The 19,638-nt window shown below is 45.5% G+C and overlaps 3 annotated features.

Annotated features, from left to right (window-relative positions):
* Positions 2,004-2,504: an enhancer, noted in NCBI's record as "H3K4me1 hESC enhancer chr4:7166520-7167020 (GRCh37/hg19 assembly coordinates)". NCBI's record gives its function as "activates a minimal SCP1, AML or CMV promoter by ChIP-STARR-seq in primed H9 embryonic stem cells {active_cell/tissue: H9 hESC(primed)}" and the evidence as "EXISTENCE:reporter gene assay evidence [ECO:0000049][PMID:30033119]".
* Positions 2,505-3,005: an enhancer, noted in NCBI's record as "H3K4me1 hESC enhancer chr4:7167021-7167521 (GRCh37/hg19 assembly coordinates)". NCBI's record gives its function as "activates a minimal SCP1, AML or CMV promoter by ChIP-STARR-seq in primed H9 embryonic stem cells {active_cell/tissue: H9 hESC(primed)}" and the evidence as "EXISTENCE:reporter gene assay evidence [ECO:0000049][PMID:30033119]".
* Positions 7,918-9,117: an enhancer, noted in NCBI's record as "MED14-independent group 3 enhancer chr4:7172434-7173633 (GRCh37/hg19 assembly coordinates)". NCBI's record gives its function as "activates an origin of replication core promoter dependent on BRD2, BRD4, P300/CBP and CDK7 cofactors, and independent of MED14, by STARR-seq in HCT116 cells {active_cell/tissue: HCT116}" and the evidence as "EXISTENCE:reporter gene assay evidence [ECO:0000049][PMID:35650434]".

Below are 19,638 nucleotides of genomic sequence, written 5' to 3' on the forward strand. Positions count from 1 at the left end.
CTCCCTGACACCCTTTTTCTCATGGGAGCATGGAGCTCACAGCAATCCCTCCTGTCCTTTCCCCTGTGACAGCCCTGTTCGCGTGATTGTGGATGGGCTTTGTGACCTGCACAGCGCTGATTCTGGCTTGACGGCCACCACAGCCTCGTAAGGGGAGGCCGCAGTTGCGAGGAAGGGGATGTGCTTAGTTTGTGTTCATGGTTTTACCAGGGTACTAACGGCTGGCGCTGAAAGCTCTTCCCGGGGGACTCTGTTTCGGATTAAACATAAGCACTGTTTCGTCACTGAGAACAGTTGTAAGAATGACTGCAGGAGAGATGATCAGGAAACCAGGTGGGCGAAGCCCACATTCTGCCTAAGAATAAATTATCTGAGCTGTCTCTGGTGAGAATAGACTCTCAAAGGTTTCCAGAACAGAGAGGTGTGGTCCACTTGCTGTGTAGACCAGAAGTAGCTCACAACACGGTTCCCGTGTTAGCACACCTGCTGCAGCTGCATGAACGGGCTCCTTAGGGGCTTCATCTGTAACTCATGGCACATGAAACACGCTGAAGTGTTCCTGAGGGTTTCCCACACCTGAGGCGGCGCGCTGGAGTCAGAACATGGATTCTCTGCCGGGAAAACTGGATAGCCACCTGCAGAAACATAAAACGATACCCTGATCACTCACCATACACAAAAATCAACTCACAACGGATCAAAGACTTAAATATAAGACCTGAAACTACAACTAGAAAAAACTACTAGAAGAAAACAGGGGAAATGCTTCATGACATTGGTCTGGACAAGGGTTTTTTTGGATAAGAACCGGAAAGCACAGGCTACAAAAGCAAAAATAGACAAGAGGGGTGACATCAAACTAAAAAGCTTCTGCACAGCAGAGGAAACAATCAACAGAGTGATGGGATAACCTATAGAATGAGAGAGAATATTTGCAAACCGTACATCTGATAAAAGGTTAATATCCAAAATACATAAGGTGATGGCTGGGTGTGGTGGCTCATGCCTGTAATCCCAGCACTTTGGGAGGCCGAGGCAGGCGGAGCACAAGGTCAGGAGTTCGAGACCAGCCTGACCAACATGGCGAAACCACATCTCTATTAAAAATACAAAAATTAGCCGGGTGTGGTGGCACGTGCCTGTAATCCCAGACTCAGGAGGCTGAGGCAGGAGAATTGCTTGAACCCAGAAGGCGGAGGTTGCAGTGAGGCAAGGTCATGCCACTGTACTCCAGCCTGGGCGACAGAGTGAGACTCTGTCTCAAAAAACAAAACAAAACAAAACAAAAAAAACCAACATGCCGAAGTAGCAGAAAAGTGGTCACTAGAGGCTAGGGAGAGGGTGTTGGGAAGAGATTGCTTCACAGGTACAAAATTCCAGTTAGGAGGAATACGTCCTGGTGTTCCTTTTTTCTTTTTCTTTTTGTTGGGGACAGGGTCTTTCTCTGTTGCCCAGGCTGGAGTGCAGTCCACCTCAGCCTCCCGAGTAGCTGGGACTACAGGTGCACACCACCATGCTCAGCTAATTTGTGTATTTTTGTAGAGATGGGGTTTTGCCATGTTGCCCAGGCAGGTCTGGAACTCCTGGGCTCAAGCCATCTGCCTGCCTTGGCCTCCCAAAGTGTTGGGATTACAGGTGTAAGCCACCATGTCCGGCCAAGTTCTGGTGTTCTGCAGCACAGTAGGGTGACCGTAGCTGGCAATATTATAATCATATTTCCAAATAACAGAGAGTTATGAATGTTCTCACCACAAAGAAATGGATGAGGTATGATGAAATGTATGAGATGCTCGATATGATATATCCCCTGATTGGATCATCACATATTGTATATGTGTAGCAAAACATCCCACCGTACCCCATACAATGTACAACTACTATGTGCCAATTAAATACAACAGAAAAAGAACATGGACTCCCTACTGCCCAGGGGCCAAGAGTGCAAGGGCTTCTGGGTGAGGAGGAAGGAAGCAAGGCTTTGCCTGCTTGGAGCATGTTTCCTTCCTGGGCCCCTGTCCGGTATTTCCTTCCTGGTTTTCTCCTGGGACAAGAGGGTTGGATTGGAAAGCTTCTCACTGCCTGTTTGCCTTCTGTGCATTTGTTTCATATTTGAATGTGGTTTGGAGTTGAACAGGCCTGAGCTCCAATCTCAGATCTGCTGTGTGACTTGATGGACAAGTCACTGAATGTCTCACTTCTCACCTGTGAGGTGGGGACCTTGGACAACAGCTGATTAGGGCTGTGAGGAGGTGACTCCAGGTGAGGGTGACGTGAGCGCTGTGAGGAGGTGACTCCAGGTGAGGGTGACTCGAGGGCTGTGAGGAGGTGACTCCAGGTGAGGGTGACACGAGGGCTGTGAGGAGGTGACTCCAGATGAGGGTGACACGAGGGCTGTGAGGAGGTGACTCCAGGTGAGGGTGACTCGAGGGCTGTGAGGAGGTGACTCCAGGTGAGGGTGACGTGAGCAGGTGACTCCAGGTGAGGGTGACACGAGGGCTGTGAGGAGGTGACTCCAGATGAGGGTGACACGAGGGCTGTGAGCAGGTGACTCCAGGTGAGGGTGACACGAGGGCTGTGAGCAGGTGACTCCAGGTGAGGGTGACACGAGGGCTGTGAGGAGGTGACTCCAGGTGAGGGTGACGTGAGCGCTGTGAGGAGGTGACTCCAGGTGAGGGTGACGTGAGGAGGTGTCTCCAGGTGAGGCCGATGTGAGGGCTGTGAGGAGGTGACTCCAGCTAAGTTTGACTAATTGGTGCCTCAGAGATGGCATCCAGAAACAGCCAGCCTTTAACACTTGAAAGCACGCCCTTGAGAAGAGAGGTTTGACTTTCCTTTCTGTATCTGAAACTTGCCTTCCGTGGCTGCCGCCAGTTGGGAAAACAATTCGCCCTTCTGCAGGAACGTCCCGAGTGTGAATCTCGGCCTTTGTGATCCAGCTGTCTCGCCCGATGCCCTCCTCCTGCTTGGGCAGACACACAGGCTCGCAAGGCCGGTTCTGGAGGCCCTGGCTGCCCCGCCTGTAATGGCTCCAGCAGGAGACCCCCACAACTGCCCCCTGTTGCTCAGTCTGCGCTCATACAGGGCAAATGGATGCAAACTGAGCTGTGCAGTGTGGTGGGACCCTACCTCACAGGTGGGGTGTCGAATGAGAGCTGCCAGCCTCCATGCAACGTTCAGGTGACAGGCCCAGCTGAGCTCTGGGCTCAGGTGCACACTGGGGTGTAAAACTACAAGGCTTCACAGCCAGGGTCCTGGTCCCCTCTGGGGCTGAGGAGCAGGAGGTGCGTCCGAGGCCTCTGGGGGCGGGGGAGGGTGTTTCTGGACCTGGGTGGCGGTCCCGGCTGCATGGGCCAATGCTTCATGGTCATTGGGAAGCCGGGCACGTCTGTCTCATGTGCATGTTTGTGTGTGTATTATATTGTGTTGTGGGTTCAGATGTGGTCTCACCCCCAAATTCATGTGTTAAAGTCCTAACACCCAGGACATCAGCATGTGACCTTATCTGGAGACACAGTCTTTACAGATGATCAAGTTAAAGGTCATTAGGGCAGACTTAATCCAGTATGCCTGGTGTCCTTATAAAAAGGCAGACTTTGCACACAGAGACACACACGGAGAATGCCGTGTGCAGGTGAAGGCAGAGGTGGGGTGAGGCTTCCACAAGCCAAGGAACTCCAAGGGCGGCCACCAAAGCACCTGAAGCCAGGGGAGAGGCCTGGGACAGAGTCCCCTTGCAGCCTGAGATGGAATCCACCCTGCCCATGCCTGGATCTCAGACTCCTGGCCTCCAGAACTGTGAGAGAATACCTTTCTGATGTTGAAGCCACCAAGGCTGTGGGACTTTGTTACAGTGGCCTCAGGATACATAAAAAGTCTTGCATTCAAATCTCGGGCCGGGTACTTTGATTTAAATCGGGGTGGACAATGGAACCGAGGTCCCAAACCTGAATTCCCTGGGTCATTCTCTCGACCACCTCTTTTGGTCTGCGAAGCTCCGAAAAGAAGTTTTGCTCCCGAGGGAAAGGCCACGATGCAGTAGAAGCGACACTCACTGGTGAGTCCTGGTTCAGGCTTACCCCATGCCCTGGAGTTCTGATCTGGGGAATTTGAGGCTGCTGTCTTAGCGGCCCCCAGTGACATGAGGGGTGGCGCAGACTGTGTCTCACAGGGCATTAAGCAAAGTTCTTAATAAGGGCCTTTTATGGAGCAGTGGGAATGAGACCTGCCAGGCTTGGCTGGGAGTCTATCAGGCCCTCAACATGGGCTGTGGTGGCAGCAGCCACCTCATAGTGTCGTGTACAGCCATCTATTACCATGTAGGGTTCAGGCATTGCTGGCTCAGCCCGGACATCCCCGCACTCCTCGGCTGGGGCAGCAGCACGGTTGGTGACCAGGCCTGGCTGCAGGTCCTGAAGGGAGAAGGGCCTGGCTTCGTCCCAGCTCACCCTTGCTGACTGTGCTGCTCCTGTCAAGTTCCTTCAGGTCAGTTTCCTGCAGCTGCCACACAAAGCACCACAGACCCGGGGTCTTGAACAACAGGAATTTATTTTCCTGCAGTTTTGGAAGCCAGAAGCCCCAAGTCGAGGTGACGGCAAGGTTGGTCCCTGTGGAGGGCTGCGAGGAAGGCCTCATTCCTGGCTTGCGCTTCTCCTTCTTGGCCTGCAGCTCCTGTCCGGCGGCCCCTCCTATAGCAACAGATTGCCCTGTTTTCCAGGAACAGGCCCCTCCCTTTGCCCCTTCAGGCCTAGAAGTGGTGTCGTCTCCTCCTGCTGACCTGGAGAGCTTCATCTGCCCCTGAGGCTTCCTGGAAGCCAGCCCACGTGGGTGCAAAAGTCCATCCCGTGAACCGTCTCCATTGCCCCTCTGAGTGAGGCACACAGGCAGCCTTGCAGGTTTTTCCTGAATGCACAATGATTCTGGAATTACCCAGTGCCCAGCTTGGTGCTTGGCTTAGAAAGTGTGCAGCCAGTGTTCCCTGAATCAAATTCAAGATTTTCAAAGGGCCTGAGGTCCTTTGGATGAAAGCATTTAAAAAGTGCAAAGGTGTGTGATTATGCACACATCATTCATCTGGGGAGTCTTGGAATTGCAGCTGGCAGGAGCTCCCTGGCTTTCTGGAGTCTTGTTTGTTTTCTGTAATGAGAGCAAATGCCCTCTCGTGGCCTGGCCTGAGTTTCCTTTACCGGCGCTTTTCTATATGATCAACATTACATGAGTAGGGTTGGGGCAAATCTACCTGAGGATAAAAATGCCTGGAAGCCCAAGGGAAAAGAGCAAGTCTGGGTTTGGCTTCCCAGAATGTTGCAGGGTCGGGGTGGATTGCAGGCAGCCACTCCTGGCACTGGCCTAGAAGGTGACACTTCTTGGAGAGAAGAGGAATGAGGTAGTGATGGAGGCTGCGAAGGCACAGAATCACTCACCAATGTGCCAGGTGAACAGCCCCAGAGACCCTTTCTGAAGGCTACTGGGGGCGAGCCTCTCCCTGCCTCAAGAACCCGCTGTGGCTCCCCACTGCCTGTAGAGTAAGGCCTGAAGCCTTCAGAACCCTCCCAGCCCATCTCGCCAGCCTCACGCCCACTGTGCCACTCCCTGCCCACTGCACAGCAAACCCCTCCCTGAATTATTTACGGTTTCCTAAATTTATGGTGCCGTTCCACCCCTGAGCCTTTGTGCTGTGGGCTCAGCTTGTGATGCTGTCGCTTGCAATTAAACTAATCTCAACATATAGAAAAATGTCAAGGGTAAAAGAAAGAACAGCTCACTCCTTTGTAAGTGAGTGACTGAGAGCTTCCACAGGGAAGGCACTGACCCTGGGACCTGAGTTCCGGAATCAGGGATAAGGCCTTGCTCTCTGTGGCTGCCCAGTGCCCCTACTGATCCGGCTGCCTTCTTGGTGGGCCAGACCCTGGTGAGAACCCCTAGATTTGGAGTCAGGCAGGCGTGGGATCCAACCCCAGCTCTGCCACTTGAGAGCAATGGGGCCCTGAGTCAGTCCCTTTTGGAACCTCAGTCTCTTCATCTGTGAAATGGTGGTGCTGATGCCTGCCACACAAGACCCAAGGAGGTGACTGGTGTCAAGAGGTGGCATGAAGGCCAGCACACAGGACTTGCTCAGTCAATGGTTCTTGTGATTTTAGGGCTGGTGTTTGGCAGTAGAGCGTGACTCCTGTGTCTGTCTTGGGGCAGATTTTAGGGGACTTGCTTTGCAAAGTCATGGTAGTAAGATCCTTGAATCGGAGGTTGGCCTATGAACTAATGATAATCCGCTTAGCTAGATTTCAGTCTCCTCCAGTCCGCCTGGACTTAAGAGATGGTCTGTTCCTATCTGTTCCCAGAACCTATGATGGGGCTGAACTTGCAGGTGGCAGCCAGAGACCCCCATGCTGAACTCAGTTCCATAAAAATCTATGAAGGCTATTCTGTGTGATCATGAAGGGGCATAACTCCCAGGCTGTGTCCTGGGGCAGCTCGTGGTCCAGTGGGAGAGACAGACATGCAAACAGACAGTGACAACATAGAGAGATGGGACCTGCAGGAGGCTGCAGGAAGTGGTGGTGGTGGGGAGAAGCGTGAACCTGGTCAGGATGTGAGTGGTCACGGCAGACTTCCCGGAGGAAGTGATGTTGAATGAGCATCAATTTTAAAAGCAGAGTAGGGAGGAATTAAACAGGGCAAAAGAGCAGGGCAATGCAAGCAAAATAATTACCCAAGAACTACCGCAGGACGTGGAGGCGGTGGGAGAGGGATGGTGGGAACCTCAGCACTTTAGTGTTGGACAAGTCACTTCTTTTTACCTGTACGACTTCCAGGTGAGCAGATCAGAGAAAGGATAATGTTCTCCAGTTGAGAAAGAAAGCGTCCTGGCTGGGCGCGGTGGCTCACGCCTGTAATCCCAGCACTTTGGGAGGCCAAGGTGGGCAGATCACGAGGTCAGGAGATGGAGACCATCCTGGCTAACACAGTGAAACCCCGTCTCTACTAAAAATACAAAATTAAAATTAGCTGGGCATGGTGTTGGGTGCCTGTAGTCCCAGCTACTCGGGAGGCTGAGGCAGGAGAATGGCGTGAATCTGGGAGGCGGAGCTTGTAGTGAGCCGAGATGGCGCCACTGCACTCCAGCCTGGGCGACAGAGCGAGACTCTGTCTTAAAAAAAAAAAAAAGCATCCTGAGGCCACCCATGGTTAGGGCAGGATTGAGACTGGAAGCCACTTCTCCAGTTGTCTCTAAGGCAGGCTGAGCAAACAGACCCCGATTCAAACTTCAGATTGTCTTAGTCTCCTAGAGCTGCCATAACAAAACCCCACTGATGGAGTGGCCTAAACAACAGACATGTATTTATTACAGTTCTGGGGGCTGGAAGTATGAGATCAGGGCACCAGCATGGTCAGCTCCAGCGAGGGCTCGCTTCCTGGCTTGCAGACAGCTGCCTTCTTACTGCATCTTCACATGGTAGAGAGAGAGAGAGAGTGGCAGAAAGCAAGAGAGCATGAGCAAGCTCTCTGGAGTCTCTTCTTACAAGGCAGCAATCCCATCAGATCAGGACCCCACCCTCATGACCCCTTCTAACTCTAATCACCTCCCAAAGGCCCCATTTCCAAACACCATCCCCTTGAGTATTTGGGTTAGAATTTCAGCATATGAACTTTGGGGGCCACAAATGTTCAGTCTATAACAGAAGGGAAGACTCAGCTTCTGGCCCGTTTGCCTCTAGGCCTCTCAGAGCACAGTGAAATCAGCTTTCTCATGTATTTGAAATTTGCTGATTTTACCAAATGTGATCAGCCACAGGAACGCTCACGTCCTCGACTCTGTCCTCTCCCTCCTTCCCTGTCATGCTGGTCTCCAGCACCGATGAGGGGAATTGCACACTGCAAAAGATCTGTGCTTTGGAGAGGATAAAACACCCTCTAAATGCACATTATTGTTATTTTTTTTACGGGCACCCGAGCAAAACTGTCTGTTCATAAGAGCTAATTTAGTTAGATCAGGAATAAGTGCTACTTGAGATGAAAACTCATTCTCCTTTGTGATATTTTCTTTTGGGTATAAATCAAGAGAAGGGCTTTTAAAATATTTTTAGTATAAATGTATTTCAATCATATGGTCAGTCACCTCTTGGCACAGTTATCTAATAGATCTCCATGTGATTACTGAAATTGAACTTGCCTTGACAGCTCAGCCATCCTTTTCTCCATTCAAGCCGTATTTGATTTCATCGATTTGGAAAGGGAGCAGGGAAAATCACCTATGACTCTGCATGGAAAATCTGATGTCCTGCAGGCTGATAGAGGATTCCATTGCAGACCTGATCTCTATGTGGAATTGGAAATCAGCATTGTAGTTTCAGGTAGGGACTCCATAAAAGTTCTGTCTCCCGTCTCCTTCTGTCCCTCCCCAAAATAGCTCTTTCTGTTATATACAGTGCTAGGAATTTACCCATGCAGCATGTAACCCCTAAGCCTTCCACTAAAGTCAAATGTCTCTAAGAGGGTGAACACCTTAAACCAGGACTATAAATATGCCACACAGATGCTGACATTTCCAAGCCCAGGGCAGACACTGCTAATCAATCAGGCACAGTTTCCCACAAAGGCTTGATTTTGACAGGCAGCTCCAGGCAGACATTCCCAGTGGATCAGAGTCATGGGTCGAAACTATTAGTCATCCCGGCCTGAAACCATGGTGGAGATGGAGATGATGAAGAGGAAAGCATTCAGCTTCCAAAAGCCCTGCTTTCTCTCTTTTGATGTTTCTCCTTCTTCTTTCTTCTTTCTTCTTTCTCCTTCTTCTTGCTCTGCCACCCAGGCTGGAGTGCAGTGGTGAGATCACGGCTCACTGCAACCTCTGCCTCTTGGGATTGAGCTATTCTTCCACCTCAGCCTTCTGAGCAGCTGGGACTACACGTGCACACCACCATACCCAGCTAATTTTTGCATATTTTGCAGAAGCAGGTTTTGCCAAGCTGCCCAGTTTGGTCTAGAACTCCTGGGCTCAAGTGATTTGCCTACCTCAGCCTCCCAAAGTGCTGAGATTATAGGCATGAGCCATAGTGCCCAGTTTGTGGTTTCTTTGTTTGTTTGTTGTTTGTTTGTTTGTTTTAGATGGAGTCTCGCTCTGTTGGCCAGGCTGGAGTGAAGTGGTGTGATCTCAGCTCACTGCAACCTCCACCACCCGTGTTCAAGTGACTCTCCTGCCTCAGCCTCCCAAGTAGCTGGGATTACAGGTGCCTGCCACCAAGCCCTGCTAATATTTTTGTATTTTTAGTAGAGATGGGGTTTCACCATGTTGGTCAGGCTGGTCTCGAACTCCTGACCTCAGATAATCCACCCTCCTCGGCCTCCCAAAGTGCTGGGATTACAGGCGTGAGCCACCGTACCCGGCCTCTGTTGTTTCATTTCTAACATAAAGTCCACCACACCTTTCCCCCCAATATTTACCATGACATTTTGATTTCTGTTCTAAGCAGATTCACTCTAAGTAGTCTTTCTCCTGTTACTGGTTTTACTCATGTAACAGGAGCCTCTTGTTATAAAAAAGGCAAGGAGCTTGCAGTACAGAAAGGGCAGTCAGGGACCAGTGGGTCACTGGTACAATGTCTGATTTTCTAGAAAAGATAAAACCATCCACCAAATGACTCTGGCTGACTCAGAAAGGGGTCTCCAGTTGATGAATTGGGGGAGACAATGAGGTTTTGGCTCAAACACAGATCTGGCTCATCTGAACAGAACCAGTTGGTACTGAGCCCTTATGGGGCCAGTCCTGGGTTGGGGAGCAGGCATGAACTGGGCATAGACCCTGCATCCCTTTCCTGAGGCTGCCGTAACACGAGACCACAAACTGGGCAGCTTAAAACAACAGAAATTCACTCTCTCATAGTTCAGGAGGCTGGAGGTCCAAAGTCAAGGTGTTGGCAGGGTCACCTCCTTCTAAGGCTGGGAGGGAATCTGCTCCAGGCCTCTCTCCTGGCAGTTTCTGGCAATCTTGATGTTCCTTGGCCTGTAGACGCGTCACTCCAGTCTAGGCATCTGTCTTCACACGGCCCTCCTCTCTGCATCTCATTTTCTGTCTCTTGTAAGGAAACGTGTCATTGGATTTAGGGCACCCCATTAACCAAGCCAAGGCAGAGAAGGTGTGTGCCTCTGAGCAGTGGGCAGGAAGCTCAGGGCAGGAGCACGTATCAGAACTGAGTCCTGAAGACGGGCTGGGAAGTGGGAAGGTGGAGTGAGAGGAGCTGCGTTGCAGGGCACAGGGGATGTGAGAGGGCACCATGGCTCAAGGACAGCTCTTCTCCCTCTGCTCATGGCAGAGTGAGGGCGAACTCCTGCGGCAGGGGCATCTGGGCCGACTCTGTGGTCATGAGCTGGGTTAGGATAGGGGGTCAGGAGTGTGGACGGGGCTGCGGGATGTGGAGTTCAAAGCTCAACTCTTAACATGTAGCAGCTCATGTGACTTTGGACAACATCCTCGACACCACGAAGCGTTACTCTTCTCACCTGTGAAATGGAATGACAGCGACCATCCCCACCTCACAGGGAGAGGAGTGCTGACGAGGGTAAAGGAAGGGAAACAGGAGAGACACAGTGACCTTTCAGCCGTCATTAGCCACTTGCACTATTATTTCAGGCTTGTACCCCCAGCTGCTAGCACGGAGCTGGCACGGCCTAGACGCTCAAGAAATGGCAATTGAACGAACAAACAATAAAAGCCCAAAGCACATTGCTTTCTTAAAAAAAAGGCAGCTTTGGCCAGGCGCGGTGGCTCACGCCTGTAATCCCAGCACTTTGGGAGGCCGAGGCGGGCGGATCACGAGGTCAGGAGATAGAGACCATCCTGGCTAACACGATGAAACCCGGTCTCTACTAAAAATACAAAAAATTAGCCGGGCGTGGTGGCAGGTGCCTGTAGTCCCAGCTACTCGGGAGGCTGAGGCAGGAGAATGGCGTGAACCCAGAAGGCAGAGTTTGCAGTGAGCCGAGATCGCGCCGCTGCACTCCAGCCTGGGTGACAGAGCGAGACTCCGTCTCAAAAAAAAAAAAAAAAAAAAAAAAAAAAGGCAGCTTCATTGAGGTGTAAGTTATGCACCATGAAATCACTCATTATTCAATGGTTTCTAGTCAGTTTACGGATTTGCGCACCCCTCCTGACGTCCAGTTTTGGAATACGTCCATCACCCCAGTTCGTGTCCTTGCTGTCACTCACAGTTCCCACGCCCAGCCCCAGGGAACCATTGACCCGCTTCCTGTTTCTATAAATTTGCCTTTTTGGGGCATTTCAAATAAATGGAGTCACACAATATGTAGTATTCTTTGGCTGGTTTTCTTGTATGTGGCAAAATGTTTTTGAGGTTGACGTGTGCTGTAGCATGGATCAGTTACTCATTTCTTTTGATTGATAAATAGAATTTCATTGTATCCGTCTGCCACTTTTTATTTATCCATTCCTCAGTTGATGGCATTTGGATGGTTGCCAGTTTTTGGCTACTGTGAAAAATATTGCTATGAGCATTCACATGCAAATCTGTGTGGGTTTGCATGTTTTATTTCTCTTGGGTAGATTCTTAAGAGTGAAATTGCTCTCACATCCCTGTGATATGGTACTATTATCATCATGCCATTTCACAGATGAGGAGAGTAAGGCTTGACATGTTGAGTAGGGTAGCTCACACCTGTAATCCCAGCACTTCGGGAGGCTGAGGCTGGAGGACTGCTTGAGTGCAAGAGTTTGAGACCATCCTGGGCAACATAGTGAGACCCTGTCTCTACAGAAAATAAGAAAAATTATCTGGGCGTGGTGGCACGTGCCTGTAGTCCCAGCCACTTGGGAGGCTGAGGTGGGAGGATTGCTTGAGTCTGGGAGGTCAAGGCTGCAGTGAGCCAGGATTGTGCGACTGCCCTCCTGCCTGGGCAACAAAGCAAGACCCTGTCTCAAAAAAATAATTAAAAATAAGAGATGTTGAATATATTGTGCAAAGTTCAAGTTAACCTTTTAAAAAACTAAGTTTATTTTTTATTTTTAATTTTTTTTTGTAAGACAAGGTATCATTTTGTTGCCCAGATTGGAGTGCAGTGGCATGACCTTTGCTCACCAAAACTGCTGCCTCCTAGGCTCAAGCGATTCTTCTGCTTCAGCCTCCCAAGTAGCTGGGATTACAGGTGCACACAACTATCGCCCAGCTAATTTTTGTATTTTTAGTAGAGATGGGATTTCACCATGTTGGCCAGGCTAGTCTTGAACTTCTGACCTCAAGTGATCCACCCACCTTGGCCTCCCAAGTGCTGGGATTACAGGCATGAGCCAGCATGCCTGGCCTAGAAACTAAGTTTTTTCCCAGTGTGGCTGTGCCCTTGTACATTCCCACCAGCCACGTATGAACTTCTAGTTTCTTTAATCTTTTTCACATCTGTTTTTTCATTATACTCACCTTTGTGGATGTGTGATAGCAACTTGTTTTCATTTTAATTTGCATTTCCCTAATGACTAACAACATTGAGCATCTTTTCCTGTGCTTAGTAGCCATTTACATAGGTCTACTTTAGTGAGATGTCTATTTAATTATATTGCCCATGTTTAATTTTTTTTGTCTTCTTAAGTTCTAAGAGTTCTTTATATATTCTGGATACAAGTGTATCCTTTTCCCATTGAATTGTTTTGGCACTTTTATCAAAAGCTAATTACCCATAATGTTTGTAATTCTGTTACAATTCTGTTCTGCTGATCTATACATCTATTCTTCCATGAATGCTCCGCTGTCTTGATTATTAAGGCATAATATTAAGATTGAAATCAGGGAGTATAAATCTTCCATGTCCTTTGCCTTTCCGTATAAAATTTAGGACCAGCTTATCAGCTTCTACAAAAAGGTTCGATAGTATTTTGACAGGGATCACATTGAATTTATAGGTCACTTTGTGGAGAATTTGCTATCTAGACGATATTGAATCTTCCAATCCATGAACACGGAATGTTCTTCCATTTGTTTATGTCATCTTTAATTTCTCTCAACAATGTTTGGTAGATTTCAGTGAAGATCTTGCACTTTTGTTAAATTTATTCCTAAGCATTTTATTCTTTCTGATGCTATTGTGAATGGAATTGTTTGCTTAACTTTATTTTTGGATTGTTTGTTGCTATTATATAGAAATACAATTGGTTTTTGCATATTGATCTTCTATTGTACAATCTTGCTAAACTTGTTTATCCTATGAGGTTTTTTTTTTTTTTTTTTTTTTTTTTGAGATGGAGTCTCGCTCTGTCATCCAGGCTGGAGTGCAGTGGCGCGATCTCGGCTCACTGCAAGCTCTGCCTACTGGGTTCACGCCATTCTTCTGCCTCAGCCTCCCGAGTAGCTGGGACTACAGGCACCCACCACCACGCCTGGCTAATTTTTTTGTATTTTTAGTAAAGATGGGGTTTCACCGTGTTAGCTAGGATGGTCTCGATCTCCTGACCTCGTGATCCACCCACCTCAGCCTCCCAAAGTGCTGGGATTACAGGTGTGAGCCACCGTGCCTGGCCTATCCTATGAGTTTTTAAATGGATCTGTTGGGATTTTCTATATTAAGAATCACATCATCTATGAGTAAAAGTATTTTATTTCTTCACTTTGAATCTTGATACTTTTTATTATTTTGCCATATTGCCCTAGTTAAACCTCTAGTAGTTTGTCGATTAAAAGTGGTGAGAGTAGACATCCTCGCTGTGTTCCTGGTCAAGAGGGGAAAGCTTTCTGTGTTTTTTCATCACTGAGTGTGATCTTTGCCATGGGTTTTTTGTAGATCCCCTTTTCCAGGCTGAGAAAGTTCCCTTCTATTTCTAGTTTGTTGAGAGTTAAAAAAAAAGTCAATAGGTACTGAATTTTAAAAAATGCATTTCCTTTGAGACAGTCGTGTGTTTTTCTCCTTTGTTCTATTAATATGATGTATTAGATTAATTGATATTTGGATGTTAAACTAGGCTTGCATTTTCAGGATAAATCCCACTTGGTCTTAGTGTCTAGTCCTTTTTATATGTTGCTGGATTCAGCTGGCTAATATTTTGTTAAGAATTTTAGCATTTGTTTAATGATGAATATTGGTCTGTGGTTTTCTTCTAATGTTTTCGTCTGGCTTTGGTTAGGATAATACTAGCTTCATACAACGAGTGAGAAGTGTTCCCTCCTCCTCTATTTTCTAAAAGAGTCTGTGAAGGATTGGTATTATTTCTTCTTTAAATATTTGTTAGGATTCACCAATGAAGCTATGTGGATCTGGCTTTTCATTGTGGAGAGATTTTAAATTATTAACTCAATTTCCTTTATATTGTTGCAAGTCTGTTCAGATTTTATATTTTATCTTGAGTCAGTTTTTGTAATCTGTGCATTTCCAGGAATGTGTTCATTTATCTAAGTTGTCTAATTTGTTGGTATTGCATTGTTTACAGTATTCTCTTATAAGCCATTTAATTTCATATGATTGGCAACGATGTTCCTTTTCTCATGCCTGATTTTGGCAATTCTTATCTTTTCTCCTCCTTTTTTTTTTTTTTGGCTCATCTAGCTAAAAGTTTATCAGTTTTGTTATCTCTTTAAAGACCCACCTTTGGGTTTCATTTATTTTCTCTTTTGCTTTTCTGTTTTCTATTTTGCTGATTTTTGTTATAATCTTTCCCATTTTCTTTCTTCTGCTTGCTTTTTGTTTAGTTTGCTCTTCTTTTTCTAGCTCATTTAGATAGATGCTTAAGCTATTTAAGACCTTTCTTTTCTTCTGACATAGGTGTTAAAAGGTATAAGTTCCCCTCTATGCACTGCTTAGCCGTGTGCCATTCATTTTCATATATTGTTAGAATTTTTCATCCGCTTCAAAATATTTTGTAATTTCTCAGGTAATTTCTTCTTTGACCGTTGAGTTATTTAGAAATGTGCTGCTCATTTTTGAAATATTTGGGCTTTCATAGACTTTTGTTAATGTGTGATTTAATTTCACTATGGCTAAGGACCATGCTTTGTGTGATTTCAGTCTGTTTACATTAACGAGGCTCATTTTAAGGCCTAGTAATGTTCTGTCCTGGAGAATGGTCTATGTGTGCTTGAAAAAAATTGTGTATCCTGCAGTCATTAGGCTAGTTAGGTTGAGTTGGTCAATAATGTGTTTAAGTCTTCTATATCTTTGCTGATTCTTAACCTAGTGGTTCCATTGGTGATTGAGAGTGGGATTTGAAATCTCCAACTATTGTCCTTTTAATTCCATTAGTTTTTGTGTCATGTATTTTGAAGCACTGTTATTAGGGGTGTATACATTTATAATTTTTATATCTTCCTGATGTATTAACTCTTTTATCATTATGAAATGTTCTTCTTTGTCTCTAGTAATATTTCTTATCTACAAGTTTATTTTGTTTAATATTAAAATTATCACTCCCAGCTCTCTTATGATTTATTTTTTCATGGTATATTATTGTCCAGTCCTTTTACTTTCATCCTATTTGCATTTTTGAATCTAAGATATGTCTCTTGTAGATAGTATATAGTCACATCACTTGTTTATGCAGTCTGGCAATCTCTGCTTTTGGCCTTTTTAGACTATTCACATTTAATGTACTTTATATTACATTATGCTTACATATACCATTTTGGGTTTTCTATACATCTCTTTTGTTGTTATCTTTTTCCTTTGTTCCTTCTTCATTACTTTTGTTTCTTTTAAATAAATATTTTTAGTATCCCATTTTAATTCCTGTTTTTTTTTTAAACCTTGTATTTTGAGTTATTTTCTTAATGATTGCTTTAAGGACTACAAAATACTTTTAACTTGTCATAATCCACTTCAGATTAATACTAACTTAATTAATCTGACCAAATACAGGAGGTTTGCTTCAATATAGCTTCATTCTTTTCCCCTTGTACTATTATTGTCACATATATATTACATATATATTATCTAAATATCTGTATCTATATATTTTTCTTATAAACCCAACAGTGTAGTGTTATAATGATTACTCAAGTCTTTTAAAGAATTTAAGAGAAAAATATATTTACAGAGTGTTTTGTATTAACAGTAATATTTACCATTTCTTTTTTTTTTTTTTTTTTTTTTGAGACGGAGTCTCGCTCTGTTGCCCAGGCTGGAGTGCAGTGGTGTGATCTCGGCTCACTGCAACCTTCACTTCCCAGGTTCAAGCAATTCTCATGCCTCAGCCTCCCAAGTAGCTAGGACTACAGGCACGTGCCACCACACCCAGCTAATTTTTGTATTTTTAGTAGAGGTGGGGTTTCACCACGTTGGGCAGGTGGTCTCAAACTCCTGGCCTCAAGTGATCTGTCCACTTTGGCCTCTCAAAGTGCTGGGATTACGAGTGTGAGCCACTGTGCCTGGCCTAACATTTAGCATTTCTAAGGCTTTTAATTTCTTCTTGTGAATTTAAGTTTCCATCCATCTGCTATCATTTCCTTTCAGCCTCATGGGCTTCCTTTGGTATTTCTTGAAAGGCAAGCCTGCTAGCAATGAATTCCAACAATATTTGTTTATCTGAGAATGTCTTTATTTCACTTTTGTTTTTGGAGGATAGTTTTGCTGGATATAGAAATATTGGATGAGTTTTTTCTTTTTTTGCATTTTGAATATGTCATTCTACTGCCTTCTGCCCTCTGTTTTTTTCTGTGATGAGAAGTCAGCTGCTTATCACATTGTTGTCCCCTAATACACAATGAATTGTTTTTATCTTGCTTCCTTCATGATTTTCGCTGTCTTTCAATCATTTGATTATGATGTGTCTAGGTGTATATCTCTATGTATTTAACCTACTTGGGGTTGTTAAGTTTTTTCAAATGTTTGGATTAAAGTTTTTCATCAGTTTTGGAAATGTTTTGGCCATTATTCCTTCAAGTATTTTTTGCATCCTCTTTCTCTCTCTCCTCTCCTCTGGAACTCTTCTGAAATGCATATTGACATGCTTGATGTTCTACAGGCTGTTGAGGCTCTATTAATTTTTCTTCACCCTTCTGTTCTCTTTGTTCTTCATATTGGTTAATTTTTATTGCTCTGTTTTCATGCTTGCTGATTCTTCTACTATCTCAAATCTGCCACCGAGCCCTTCTGGTGAATTTTTCCCATTAGTGTACTCTTCAACTCTGGAATTTTCATTTGGTTTGAAAATATTATTTCTACCCCTTTATTCAGATTCTCTATTTATTGATTTATTATTATTGTTGTACTTTCTGTTAATTATTTGATTATGTTTATAATAGTTGCTTTGAAGTTTTTCACTACCAAATCTAACTTCTGGAGATCCTCAGAGACTAGTTTTCCCTCCCTCTGACCCCCAGAGTATAGGTCATATATGCCTATTTTTTTGCATTTCTCTTTTTTTTTGTTGTTGAAAACTGGAAATTTTAGGTAACATATTATATCAGCTTTGGATTTTGATTTTCCCCAAGAAGGTTGTTACTGTTTGTTGCTTGTTCATTTGTTTAGTAACTTGCCTGTGCTAACTCTAGGAAATTCATTTTCCTTGCTGTGTATAGCTGCTGATGCTCAGATTAAAAATATATATATATTTCTGGCTGGGTGTGGTGGCTTACACCTGTAATCCCAGCACTTTGGGAGGCCAAGGCAGGCAGATCATTTGAGGTCAGGAGTTCTAGACCAGCCTGGCCAACATGGTGAAACCCCCTCTCTACTAAAAACACAAAAATTAGCCGGGCGTGGTGGCACGCGCCTGTAGTCCCAGCTACTCAGTAGGCTGAGTCAGCAGAATCGCTTGAACCAGGAGGTGGAGGTTGCAGTGAGCCAAGATCACGCCATTGCACTCCAGCCTGGGCGACAGAGTGAGATTCTGTCTCTCTCCCTCTCTCTCTCTCTCTCTTTTTATATATATATATATATATATATATATATATATATATACACACACACACACACACACACATATATACATACACATATATACACATATATATACACACATATATGTATATACACACTATATATACACACATATATACACACACACATATATACACAGACACACACACATATATATATACGTATTTATATATTTATATATATATTTTTTAAAGCCTGGCTTCTGTGCCCCTGTGTGTCCATAGTATAGAGGTCAGCCAGTGTTTGATCAGAGGTTATTCTCAAACACCTCAAGCTCATAAGACTTCTATATTCTGTTAAAGACCTGTACACAGGTAGGGGAGCACATTCATAATTCTGGCCGTTTCCAAGTCTGCCTGGCTTTTACTTTTTACTAGGCTGTTCATGTTTCCTGTGTGTGTGCACGTGGCCTTAGGGTCAGCTAGCTAGAAATCATGGCTGGCTTGGATCCTTTCCAGTCTCCATCATGCATAGACACAGCCCCAGCCATTCCACACAGCCTGTCAGATTGCCACTTTTGCTGAGAAAGCCATTAGACGTGAGCATTACCCATTGCTCCAAATTGTGTGATTCCTGTCAACTGTGGCCCACCAGCTGCTGGTCCTCAGGGCCTGTCCTGCCCTAAAGAATCTCTAAGTCTATCCAGCTGGGAGGGCAGTATCGGAACAGCCCTGGGCCAGAATTTTACAAACTCCCACTGTTTCTAACTGAAATTCAGCAGTTTTCAAGAATAAGCACTTCTCAGATTGGTGCATGCTTTTGGATGATTTTCAGAGTGTGGAAATGGCTGGTCTTTTTGGTCAATTTTGTGCAGCTGTATAATTGACTTTTGGGGAGAGGATTTGTCAACCTCCTCGCTTGGCCATAGCTGGGAGTCCAGAAGTACTTTCCTGACTGGAAAATGCGGTGGGCAAGATGAATGTCTTGGCAGGATAGGGTAGGGGAAAAGTGGTTGGATATGAGGCTGAAAAGGTTGCCTGGGGCTAAATGAAACCTCATTTAGTAGAGGAGAAAAGAGGTAGCACCCTTGGGGAAAGGGATTTTCCCAAGTTCTCAAACCTCAGTCAATGAAGAGATGACACTGGAACCTGGATCTCTTGACTCCCAATCAATTGCTCCCCCCGCCATCTACCAAATTGCGTTAGTAGTTGTAGTTTAGAAGTCCACATCCAGTTTTCAGTATGAAAGGCTCATCCATCCATCCATCCATCCATCCATCCATCCATCCATCCATCCATCCATCCATCCATCCATCCATCCATCCATCCATCCATCCATCCATCCATCCATCCATGCATCCATCCATCCATTCATCCATCCATCCATCCATCCATCCATCCATCCATCCATCTACCCATCCATCCATCCATCCATCCATGCATCCATCCAACAAATACTGACTGAGTTCCCACTGTGTGCCCAGCATTGCACACAGCTCTGGCAATACAGAGGTAAATGAAAACTGACAGAGTCCCAGGGCTTATGACCCTTATAGTCTTAGATTGGGGACACTTCAGTTGCCAGAAAGGGCCTTGCAAGAGCTAGTTTGAAGAAATGTCTCATGCTGATTTGTTAGTGTTGACTAAGGCTATAGCCCTTTCCAGGAAAAACAGTGAGTTTTAATTGACTCCCAAGCTGAAATGTCTCAAGCCATGATTTTCAACCAAAATTTTCTTTGTGAAAAATTGCAAATGTGCAGCACATTTAAATAAAAAATCAATTTCATAGTCAAGAGTTTGGTAGCAAAAATGTTGACTTCCAAAATGAATCTCAAGG

The sequence above is a fragment of the Homo sapiens genome, chromosome 4 (assembly GCF_000001405.40).
Source record: "Homo sapiens chromosome 4, GRCh38.p14 Primary Assembly".
In the NCBI taxonomy this organism is placed as follows: domain Eukaryota; kingdom Metazoa; phylum Chordata; class Mammalia; order Primates; family Hominidae; genus Homo; species Homo sapiens.